The sequence below is a fragment of the Homo sapiens genome, chromosome 17 (assembly GCF_000001405.40).
Source record: "Homo sapiens chromosome 17, GRCh38.p14 Primary Assembly".
Lineage (NCBI taxonomy): Eukaryota > Metazoa > Chordata > Mammalia > Primates > Hominidae > Homo > Homo sapiens.
The window spans coordinates 55,858,807-55,872,003 of record NC_000017.11 but is presented as its reverse complement, the minus strand read 5'-3'; the positions used below and the strand labels follow the sequence as shown (position 1 = coordinate 55,872,003).

Sequence of the window (13,197 nt, the reverse complement as noted above, 5' to 3'; positions counted from 1 at the left end):
GAAATTGGTTTAATAATATGGCCCAATAATTATTAATGTGGCACAAGGGTGTGAACAACCACAGAGCTCCAACAAAATTACAGAACTGTGAACAAAGCAATTAGATCTTTGCCCTCTTTCCCCAAGAGTTTCTATTAGCTTCCTGAAAGCGTCCATTTTACCCCTAAAATCAGTCTTGCTGAAGCTGAAACCACCCCCAGATACAGACCTGTCTGATAAAAGGGACCAGTTTGGACTTGTCTTTTCAGTTTGAAAAGCCTACTTTTTAAGTGTAAGAAATAAGCTTATACTTAAGCTTTTCTGAAGGGTTTTAAAATGCAGAAACTAAGTTTAATGGGAAATTCTTCCTAGGCTGTGTACAATTCACTCCTTGCCAAACCAGAGATAAATACCAGTTCCTCAGTTCATAGGGGCTTTCCTTTTTTGGTCTAAGGGGAGAAGTTATGCAGCCAGAGAGTTGTACAAAGGTTCGGTTCAACTGTCTTTCTGGCATATTCTTTGTGGAATCTGCCTCCAAGGTAATGGCGTATATCTCAAAGCTATAATCTTCCCACTAAGCCAGAGACTCTTCTGTGCTGAAACCTAGGAAGGAATGGGTGAAGTTGATTCTTCTTCTACATCCCTATCTCATATCCTGGAGATTCTAATGCTCTCCCAAGATTTCCATAAACTCCCAGGGAACTAATATTTTTACAATTACCTCTGGCTCTGACTTCCTGCCTCTACTCAACTCTATAAAGGGTAGATGGTTCTCTGTTTCTACCCTGGCATATGCTCAAACATAATTTCTATCAAAAGCCATTACAAATTTCACCAGGATGACAGTATGAGGAGTCTCTCTTCCCTTAGGTCCCAGTCAAGAGTCTGCAAAACCACTCCCCAGAGAAATATGCATAATTGATTGATACATATTTGGAGAGAAAGACAGAGACAGGGAGAAATAGATAGTATATAGATGTATTTTATCTATCTATTTATCTACCTATCTGACTATCGCCAACCGTTTAAAGTGTCTGGAAGTTATCCTAAAGTCTTGTAGAAATAAATAAGCATTTACACAAGAAAATCTACTAAAACTCAGTAAGACAAGTGAGGCATTGCATTGGAGCCAATGTCCTCCCCAGAAGCTGAGCAGATGCCAGTGCCATGTTTCCTGTACAACCTGCAGAACCTTGAGCCAATCAAACCTCTTTTCTTTATATTAGGTTGGTGCAAAACTAATTGTGGTTTTTGCCATTACTTTTAATAAAAGTGCATAAGAGAGCATTAAAGGTTGGAAAATTTACAACATGGCCATGTGGCAGAGAAAAAAAAGTTTTTCTGGAGAAGAATTTGGCCAGGCACAGTGGCTCACGCCTGTAATCCCAGCACTTTGGGAGGCTGAGGCAGGTGGATCACCTGAGGTCAGCAGTTTGAGACCAGCCTAGCCAACATGGTAAAACTCCATCTCTACTAAAAATACAAAAATGAGCTGAGCATGGTGACAGTCACCTGTAATCCCACCTACTTGGGAGGCTGAGGCAGGAGAATCTCTTGAACCTTGGAGGTGGAGGTTACAGTGAGCCAAGATGGAGCCATTGCACTCCAGCTGGGTGACAAGAGTGAAACTCTGTCTCAAAAAAAAAAAAAAAAGAATTCAAGTGGGCAGTGGAGCAACCACTTGCTAGAGATATTTGCATAACTAAAAGACAGCCAAGTGCTAATAGACAAGACAATAGGGAAAAGGCCTCAAAGGTATTTCAGAGAACTTCAAGGCAGCCCCTTCCACCATGGGCTCATATGCCTAGGAGGGAAGAATGGTTTTGTGGGCCAGGCCCAGGGCCCCACTGCCTTGCACAGCCTCAGGACACTGCTTCCCACATCCTTGCCTCTCCAACTCCAGCCAGGGCTCAAAGGGGCCCCAGTATAGCTCAAACTGCCACTTTAAGAGAATACAAACCATAAGCCTTAGCAGCTTCCATGTGATGTTAAGCCTCCTGGTGCACAGAGAGCAAAAGTAAAGGCTTGGTGGCCTCCACCTAGATTTTACAGGAGGTATAATAAAGCGGGTGCCCAGGCAGAATCCTGCTGCAAGGCAGGAGCCCCCACAGAGAACCTCCACTAGAGCAGTATGAAGGGAAAGCGTGGGGTTGGATGTCCCACACAGAGTCTACACTGGGGCACTACCAAGTGAAGCTGTGGGAAGGGGGGCCTTTGTCCTCCAGACTCCAAAATGAAAGATCCACTGTCAGCTTGCACCCTGCATCTGGAAAAGCCAGAAGCACTCAACAACCTGTGAGAACAGCTGTGGGGGCTGAACCCTGCAAAGCCACAGGGGCAGAACCTTCCAAGGCCTTTGGAGTCCATCCCTCACGGAAGTGTGCCCTTGGTGTGGGACATGAAGTCAAAGGAGATTATTTTGAAGCTTTACAATTTAATAGCTGCCCTGCTGGGTTTTGAACTTTCTTGGGAACTTTAGCCCCTTTGTTTTGGCTGATTTCTTTCCTTTGGAATGGAAATGTTTACCCAATTCCTATACTTTCATTTTATCTTGGGAGTAAATAATTTGTTTTTGATTTTATAGGCTCATAAGTGGAAGGGACTTGCCTTGTCTCAAACTAGACTTTGGACTTTTTTTTTTTTTTTTGAGATGGAGTCTTGCTTTGTCGCCCAGGCTGGAGTGTAGTGGCGCAATCTTGGCTCACTGCAAGCTCCGCCTCCTGGGTTCACGCCATTCTCCAGCCTCAGCCTCCTGAGTAGCTGGGACTACAGGCACCCGCCACCATGCCCGGCTAATTTTTTCTATTTTTTAGTAGAGACGGGGTTTCACTGTGTTAGCCAGGATGGTCTTGATCTCCTGACCTCGTGATCTACCCGCCTCGGCCTCCCAAAGTGCTGGGATTACAGGTGTGAGCCACCGCGCCTGGCCGAGACTTTGGACTTTTGAGTTAAAGCTGGAATGAGTTAAAACTTTGGGGGACTGTTGGGAAGACATGATTGTATTTTGCAATATGAAAAGGATATGAGATTTGAAGGAGCCAGGGATAGAATGATGTAGTTTGGATATTTGTCCCTACCCAAATGTCATGTTGAAATGTAATCCCCAATGTTAGATGTGGATCTAGTGGGAGGTGTTTGGATCATGGGGATGGATTTCTCATAAATGACTTGGCCCATCCTTTTGGTGATAAGTGAGTTCTTACTCTGAGTCCATACAAGATCTGCTCATTTAAAAGTGTGTGGCACCTCCCCACCCCTACTCTCTCTCTTTCTTCTGCTCTGCCATGTGAAATATCTGCTCCCACTTTACCTTTTGCCATGAGTAAAAGCTCCCTGAGGCCTCCCCAGAAGCTGAGAAGATGCCAGTGCCATGTTTCCTGTACAGCCTGAAGAATTGTGAGACAATTAAATCTCTTTTCTTTGTAAATTACCCATTTACAAAGCATATTTTATATAACATTGCAAGAACTGCCTGACACAAGTATCTCACTGAGAAGGCCAGGCCACAAATTTTACTTATCCCTCACCCAACTCCAAAATGCAGAGATTAAATTCTTGGTGAATATGCCCTAAAGATCTGGGTTTCCCTTCCTTTTCCCACCCAGCCTTCATGCATAGGATGAAAGTTTTCCCCCGAGCATGGAATACCAATAATGATGGGCCCCTGATCACTTTCATTCCAGCTCACTCAGAGTGCAGAAGTTTCACATTGAAAGAAGTAAGACAAGTAGACCAGAGGCTATTGCCCTACCAAATACCTAACATAGTGGATCAGAGATGTCTGTCCAGGGCAACAGGCAGTCCATAAGAGCAGAGAGCTTCAGATCTCTTCTCAAAGAAACTGACTGTTTGAAACAAAATGTGGGAAGTGTAAACCTAAGCTTCAAAACAATAGTTTCTCTGAATTAAGAGTGACAAGCTAAACCATAGGCCAGCTGGTTCACTAGAGAGAACCAGAGGGAAAGACAGTTTAGAACCCTCCTGGTGTCAGAAAACATTCAAAGATGGGCACTGAAACTTACCCTTCCCCAACCTTAATTGGATTAAGCCATGGAATAAATTTATGCCCCAGGGCATTTTTTAAAAAAATAATAGAGCCATCAGCGTGCAATTAGTTTAGCCTAACATGGATTTCACTATTCTTTCAAGTCTGTATTTGCTTTATGAATTTTGAAACTTTATTGCTGGGTACACACATATTGAAGACTTTTATATTTTCTTAGAGAATTGACCTGTCTATCATTACCTAGTATTTTTCTTTATTCCTAATAATATGTCTTGCTTTGAATGCTACTTTGCTTTATATTATTAATAATTATTCCCACTTTTTCATTAATGTCTGCATGGTATATCATTTTTAGCACTTTATTTTTAATCTGCATATGTTTAAATTAAGTTTCCTGTAGGCAGTATGGGGTCTTGTTTCTTGCCCATTCTGACAATCTCTGAATTTTAATTTTAAAATTCAATATATTGATATTAAGAGTGATATTAACATATTGAGTTAATATCTTCTATCTTGTCAGCTCTTTTCTGACTTTAATTACTTTTACATCCTTACATCATTGCCTTTGGAGCATTAATGAAAACCTACTGCATATTGGGGAAGGATTTAGAAAGAAAAACTCCTATATGTACAAGAAAAACAGGAATAGTGTGGAGTCCAGGCTACAGCTGTAAGAGGAGGAAGAGAAGACCATATCTATGATCCCCTAGGATACAATGCCTGCCATATTACTTTTATTAATAACTGCAAAAAACACAATGCCTTTTGCACCAATTTAATATTGCGTTCATTTTTTTTTCTTTCTGCTTCCTTATTTTTGCGACTTCTCTTGGGTTAGTTGAACATTGTTTATGATTTTATTTTATCTTCTTCTTTGGCTTATCCATTTATATCAATTACAAGCCAAGACATAAACAAGACTAGGTGGATTTATAAAGAAAAAGAGCTTTAATGGACTCACAGTTTCACATGGCTGGGAAGGACTCACAATCATGGCAGAAGACAAAGGAGTAGCAAAGGCACATCTTACATGGCAGCAGGCAAGAGGGCATGTGCAGGAAAACTGTTTTTATAAAGCCATCAGATCACGTGAAATTTATTCACCATCATGAAAGAACAGCATGGAAAAAAACCTGCCCCCTTGATTCAATTACCTCCCACCAGTCCCTCATAATCCCCAACACAAGGGGATTATGGGAGCTACAATTCAAGATGAGATTTGGGTAGGGACACAGTCAAGCCATATCAGGCATGCTACCTATGTGCACAATGGATTGAGGCAGATCCCCAGAGTCCCCACATATACCAGTGAGAAGCTGGAGGCAGTGGAACAATTTCCTCTGTTTCCAGGAAACCACAGAGGAAGGCTCTTAAACAAACCCAATGCATTCCCTTGATTTAGAGAAGTCTAGGACAGCAGCAGAATTTCCCCTGTGTCCTCACGGGTGGTAAAGAAGCAGATGAGACAAAGTCTAACTTAAAGTGATCTTATGGTTTAGAATAATATAACAGTGACCTGCTTGACCCATGACCAAAGGATAGTCACAATTATGTCTTTCTCAGTGGATACCAGTGTAGACCTGTTAATGACATAGAACTAATGAAGTATCCCCAAACACCATTCCAATGCACCACACAAGTCCCTAGAAAGCAGATGCAACTTGAAGGAAAGGAAGTTGGGTGGGGACTGAATTGACTTGAATTTATCTTTTGTCAAATGGTAGAATATGTACTATTAAGAGAAATTAAATGGAGTCACATAAAAATAGATAAATTACAATTCTTATCAACTGACTCTGTGGACCAAGATTCTTACCTGTTAAACATACAATGGCATTACTTCATGCACACAACTATGTTCCAGGCATCCAGCTAAGCACATTATATACGTTAATCCCCTTAGCAACCCTGTGACATAGATCCTGGTGCCATCTGCATTTGAAGGATGGAGAGATTGTGGCTTAATGAGGTTAAATAAGCTGCCTAAGATTTCACAGGTAGTGAGGGCAGGGCTGGAACTCAGCATAAGTCTTTACAATGATGAAACTTACATTCTTAACCACTAGAACCTAGTAACTCTACAGGGCCAGTGATAGGTTTCCTTTTCTTTACTTTCTGAGCTCCAGGGCATAATGTGTCTTTATACCTTAGAGCTCAGAAAGTTAAAAAAAAAAAAAAAAAAAAAAGGAAAAGACACCATATTCCCTTCTATAACATTTCTCTAGCTTTTCTGATCTGGCTTAAAAACAAAATTATCACTTCAAATAGTATCATATTGGATAAAATTAGTCTGAGTTACAAATATAAGTCTTTGAGGTCTTTTTAATACCAAATATCATTGACTATCATAGCTGAAAGAATTTTTTAGATAATCTAGCCTAGAGATTCTCAAAGTATGGTCCCTAGACCAGCAGCATCATCAACATGTGGGAAATGAATAGGAATGCAAATTCTCTGGCCCAACCCTAGACCTAATGAGTCATAAATACTGGAAGTAGAATCTATCAATCTGTGTTTTTGCAAGCCTGCCAGCTTATTCTGATGTATGATAAGGTTTGAGAATCACTATTCTAGTTCAATACTAGAGACCCACTGTGCATCAAAATATGTGTCAAGAAATGAGCTTAGGAAGTTTTGCAGGAGTCAGATCAAATTAAAAGATTTGAGCTATAACCTGTATGTAATAAGGTTGGAGGAGCTTTTAAGCAGGGAAGGCATATTTGGATTGGTATTCTATTACTTATTATACATATTCATCTATTCACTGACTCACCAAATATTTATTGAGTGCCTATATGTTGTGAGTCTTTGAGCTAATAAACTGAGCTCTTAATCTATCAGTAAAATTGGTTGGATGGATTGAGCAAGAATGAAAGAATAGGAGGCCAATTACAGGTTTATTGTAAAAGTTCACATGGGTGATGACAAAAGCTTGAACAATATGGCACTGGAGGAGTGAAAAGATTAGTAGACACTTGGTACATTACATGCACTTCTCTAAGGCTTTCATTTCTACCCAATTTGGTATGTGTCTTAGTCCATTCAGGATGCAGTAACAAAATATCCTGAACTAGGTACCTTATAAACCACAGACCTTTTTTTCTAAAACCTCTGGAGGCTGGGAAGTTCAAGATCAAGGCACTGGCTGGTTTGGTGTCTGTCTAAGGCCCACTTTCTGGTTCAAGAGGGAGTCTTCCTGCTGCTTTCTCACACAGTGGAAGGTGCTAGCTAGCTCTCTGTAGTCTCTTTTCTAAGGATGGTAGCCCCATTTATGAGAGTTCCACCCTCATAACCTAATCACCCCCTAAAGGGACCACTTTCTAATACCATCACCTTGGAAGAGATTCCAACCTATGAATTTTGGGGTGACACAAAGGTTTGAACTATAGCAGTATGAGGAGGTGGAATAAGGCTAAAATGACCTTGAGATTACCAACTGAGGCAACTGGGTGGAATACGGTGATATCATTAACTAAATTGGAAATAAGGAAAGAAGAGCACATGAGGGGGTGGGATGACCAGATACTACATGGTATGGGAGCTTCATCAACCCAATTGCAATGGCATGACCTCTGATGGGGCCCCATAGTGACTTGAGTCATTAGCACAGAAGATAGTCCAAATCCATTGAAAATATTCTTAATGAATAGAAAAAAAATCTTTACATTGAAATGAAATGCTGACTTTTTGTAGCTTCAACTCACTAGTCTTGTTTGGCTAGCAACTCAGAATAAATCTAATTTGGAGAGTCCCTAAAGCTGAATTCCCAAAGACATGGCTGTAAACCAAGTGTTTATACTCTAATCCTGTTGACTTCTAGTATCATTTGCCTTCATTTCTGAGGATCTGCAATTTGGCAATGATTTGTTCACACCCTAATTGTTTCTTTTTCCATTGCTTTCTTATTGACTGTTTCAATGATTAAAAATTGGACATTTTTATGTATCAAGAAAGCTTGCTGTTAACTCTAAAATCATCTCTTTTTGAAAAGTAAGTCATTATCCCCTTCTGTAGTCATCTTGTAAAATTCTCTTTTAATCGGGTGAAAATGAACAAACATAAACAAAACCCTTATGCTTACCTTTATTGAATTGTAGGCTATTTCTTCATCATTTGGCCTCTTAACATAGATTTCTCTTAGGTGTTTTATTCACACCTAGAGGTCTGTGTTTTACTGTCTCAAAAAATATCATTATCACAAATTTTTCTTACGAAGTAGCACAGTGCAGACCTCCAGGCTCCAGTTATCCTTCTAGCCCTAACATTTTTTACTGCACTCATCCTCCCTGGGCTAGAATAAAATCAACAGTTAAAGGTCTGCCCTTCAGATTCTCCCAGATCTATGAGTTGTTTTAGGTTTAAAGGCCAATTTTTACCATCTTGTTGAGAGGCTACTGATAATATTGAATAGAATACACATCTAGAAAACATCCATCGCTCAGTGCTTTTCCTGCTTTTTAAAACAAATGTTATTTTCTGATACTAAAATCAACACATATTCATAAGAAAAAAATGCAAAATAAATAAAGCTTACAGAAAAATATCAAGATAACCCCAACACAAAGAGAAACAATTACTGCATTTTATTGCAGTTTCTTCCTGAATTTTTTCTATGCATATATTTTTACAGTTAAGACCAGATATCTTTTCTTCTGCTTTTTAACTTTATATGGCACTGTATCTTTGCATTCAAATTAATATTTTAACATTATTTTTAAATAGCCACGAAATGGTCAATCATATGAATATATCAAATTCTAGCTTAACAATTCCTGAACTTCTGGTCGCTTAGTTATTTTCCAGTGTTTTGGCTGAAAAATTGGTGAAATCGGAGAATCTGCTCCATACCTCTCTCCTAGTTTCTAGTGGTAACCGGCAATGCTTCACGTTCCTTGGCCTGCAGAGACATCACTCCGATGTCTTCTTCCATCTTCACAAGGTGCTCTTCTTCCCGAGTGTCTGTGTGTTCTTCTCTGTTTCTTACAGGCACTTTCATTGGATTTAGGGCCCACCTTGATCTAGTTTAATCTCATCCACAATCTTGCTTTAATTGCATCTGTAAACATCCTATTTCCAGATAGCGTCACATTCTGAAGTTCTGAGTGGACATGTTTTTTGGTTTTTATTGGGAAAGACACTATAAAAACCTGTAACACAGGGGTTTTATTTCCTTAACCACAGCCGTGTGAATGCCAAGGAGACTGTCTGGCATGGGTTAAGTGTTTGCTAAATGTTGAACAAATTGAATTCCCTTTACTCAAAAATTAATTACAGCTGAGTGGTGACTGTTCCCTTTACATGGCATTCGGTCTATATCTCCTTATAAGGCCTACACTCATTCATGTCATGAGCCTTATAGGTGTATAGATTTAGGACCCCTGTTCATCAGGTTTATAGTACCTTTTTCTCCCACTGAAGTGGGAAGAAAGGATGAGGGAAAGTGGAGAGGGGAGAAATGCCCTGGGGAACTCAGGAAGGGCAATGCAAACCATAGCCAGCCAGCCTGGAGTGCGATTCTGGCTCTGTCGCTACCTTAATGTGAGTCCAAACTGACTCAGTTTCTTCATCTGTAACGTGGGAGTATAATAGTGTCTGTCACTTTGTTGTGAGGACTAACGAAATTGATTCTCATAAAGTGCGTAATCAAAAAGTACAGAGCAAACTGCTAGAAAATTGTTAGCTAGCATCCAAATATCTTTGTGCCCAAAGTTAATCCAACCTCCAGGAATGCAATAGGAATCAGAAAGATAGGAAACCTACAACCACGTCTTTTCAACCTTCCAATTAGAAGAGCCAAAGTATTTCTTATTAGACTTTGAGACAATCTCACACACTTAAACCAACATTTACATTTTTAAATGAGAACCACACCAGTCTGCTTCCTTATAATAACTTTCAGATGAGAAAGAGATTTTCTTTTTAAACTAAACATTTAATCATATTACAGTCATATTTTAATTACTCTAGGGAAAGGATAAAGAAACCAGAGAGTGAATCTCTTGGATAATGTATTTGTAGCTCTAGCTTGAAATTTTTTCCTACTGGGTTTCCAGAATCTCATTTTCTTTTCTCTCTTACTCCCACTTTGTCAATTATTAGCCTTACAAGCAATTTGGTAGAGGCTGAAAGGAAGAAGAAGATAATGATATTCAAATACCAGAACTTTCTCTTAAACAGCTTGCTAACATTTTTCATTTGATGCTATAAAATGTATATTATTACTCTCATTTTACAAATGAAGAAACTAAGACTTAAAGATAAGTTGAGAAGTAGCTTGCCCAAAGTTATCCAAATGTTATGTGATGGAGCTATTTGATATAATCAGTTTAACTTCGAAGTCTGTAATATTTATTATACAACACAATGTCCAGCAATTAAAATATAGTGTTATAAATGCAGTTACACACAGACAGACATGCATACACCACCCCCCCTACACACACAATTCAGCATGCATTTTTGCCCCAGTACTTTGGCCCATTTAAATACAACCTCTGTTACTAAAATGACTTTAACAAATTGCCTTATATTTTAATAAAGATTAGAAATTAGAGGAAAGGTTAGGAGACTTGCTAGCTTTGGTAATATTCACTTTGCAAAGAAGACAAGGCTCATTTGGGATTAGCACTTTTTCTCAAGGCAAAACCGCTGTGCCTCATGGTCCAAAAACCTTATTATATAAGCAGATTAATTTTAATAGGGCACATTGGCTCATATTGTTATTTTTATGCAAACATGTTTTGAATCACCACTTTAAAAGGAAACAACCTAATTTTCTTTTCCTTAAGCTTCTTTTTAATTTTCTCCATTCTGTAAACAAATGAGCTAGTATTGAATACTTGAAGGAATCAGAAAGAATAGGAAACCTAGAACCATGCCTTTTCAACCTTCCAATAAGGAAAAACAAATTATGTGACCAAAAATTGGCAAAAAATATAGCCAAAGACTTACAAGTGATGGGATAACTGTCTGTAATATATGTCTTGTGGAAAAGTTGTTTACATTCATTCTCTGAGGCCTGCCAAAGATTGCAAAATAAGGATCCTAAGTCTTACTGGGATTCAGAGTCCTTTTTTATCCATATATTTGTAGGAAATAAAAGTACAAATTTAATGAAAATGTCTCTATCCAACAATAAAGTGGGCTGCCTTGGGAAGTTTCCAAGTCCTGCCATTGAAGGTGACTGGGTCAGTTGGTTGAAAATGACCTGAAAGTGAAGCAAATACCCTTTAAAGGCATTCAAGGCCTCTCTGAGGTTTCTTCCAGCAACAACGTTCTTCAATTCACACAGCAATGGGCGTGCAGTCATCTATGCCAGATGGTGTTCTGTCTCTTCACTTTCAACATCAGCCAATTGACCCTAGTGACTTGAGCCTCTCCACTGTCAACTCTCTAGATCAGGAACCCTACAGGCCATGGATCAAATCTAGACACCCACAAGTTTTAGTACTGCCTATCAGCTAAGGATGGTTTTTAACATTTTCAAATGGTCAGAAAAATTCAAAAGAGGAATGGTATTTCATGACATGTAAAAATTATATGAAATTCAATATCTAGTATCCAGAAAGTGTTATTGGAACACTCCAACATTCATTTGTTCATGTATTGCCGATGGCTACTTTTATGTTACAGCAGAAGAGTTGAATAGTTGTGACAGGTACCATGTATCTGCAAAGCTGAAAATATTTGTTATCTGGGTCTTTTCAAAAAATGTTTGCTGATCCCTGCTTTAAAACACAAACCTATAAAGACAGACATTGTGGTCTTTGTTGTTTGTCTTTGAAGCTTTACTATTCAGCACATAGTGGCTTCAATGTTGTGGGTTGTTGAATGAATAAGTGAATGAAAGATGATCGTGTTCAAAATTTATAAAAAGTAGTTAAATCTGACTATAAACAGTTTCATCTTCTAGAGAGACCACCAAAAGCTTCTACCCTTCTTTCTAAACAAGCAGAGGTACATTGTATGCAAAAAAGGAGATTCAACCAGAGCTAATATTGAAGTATTGTGTACCTGTACAGCATAATGCCAAGCTTCTATTCTGATTGGCCTGGACCGTACCTCAGTAGTCATTAGCAATTTTGGACATCACCCTGGACACACTACAGGTTACTATCTTAAAAACTTATGACTTATTCAGACCATGCTAAATTCCCAAAATTCTTTGAGAAACTTTGTATTTTCTTGCCTTAATCAGTTGGCAAATTTAATTCTCCCTGGAGGAATAATTGGAGGGAATTATTCTTTCCTTTCAGCACAGAGAGAAAGCCAGCTCAGCAATCCAGTGACACTTGCTGCAGGTTGGATGAATGTCAACACCTCCTCCTCCCTCCACACAAAAAGAACATTAATACATGAAGCCACATTTAACAAAAATCTTGCAAACATTTCAGCAGCAACATTTTTGGAAACCCATTTTAGAATGTTAAAGTGTGTTAAAGATGCTTACACTAATTCTTGTCTCCCCTCCCAGCTTTTTTAAACTGTTAGCCACATAGTACTAATTATCCAGCTGGCATTTTTGCAACAGAAGTTTTCCAAGTTGCCTCCCCAATTTAAAGCTGTCAGGAGAAGTGCTGAAGACTTGCATTTACTCCTACAGCTTGGTGCTCTAATTAAAGCAATAAATACGGTTCCCTTCAAGGGAGAAGTAGGCAGAGAGGAAAGATCTCTTCCGATCCATTAGTCTCACAATGTAGTTTGCAGGATTTAAATTCCAATTTACGTAAGACCATGGAAGAACCTTTACGCAGAGACAGCAGAAGAGGCAGCTACTGGGTAGAGGTGGGAGGGAGGATAGATCCAGTTCCAAGGCAAGAGTAGACAGGAGATGGGATGTCCTCTGAGGGGCAAGGACAGCTGTCTCATGAGTTTTCTTATTGCTCATTAGTTAGAACCAGACTGATATGGTTTAGAATTACAGAAATCTCAGTGATCATTTGGGTCACAATTAGTATATAGAATGAAGCACACAATTTTTTTCATGTGTTTGTTTGATATTTGCTTTATTTTTATTTGAAGAAGAAAAATGATGAGTTAAAGTTCTTGTAACATTATTGCCTGATCTTTTTAAATAATTTTAGACATGGAGAACAGTAGAAAGAAGAAAACACCTTTGTCACCTTAAATCTTCCACCAAGAAATATCCATTATTATTGGGGGACTATCATCTCAAATACCATTTTTATATGCATAGAACAGTAATGGATTCG

The 13,197-nt window shown here is 38.9% G+C and overlaps 1 annotated feature.

Annotated features, from left to right (window-relative positions):
• Window positions 1,403-1,996: an enhancer, noted in NCBI's record as "OCT4-NANOG-H3K27ac hESC enhancer chr17:53947369-53947962 (GRCh37/hg19 assembly coordinates)". NCBI's record gives its function as "activates a minimal SCP1, AML or CMV promoter by ChIP-STARR-seq in primed H9 embryonic stem cells {active_cell/tissue: H9 hESC(primed)}" and the evidence as "EXISTENCE:reporter gene assay evidence [ECO:0000049][PMID:30033119]".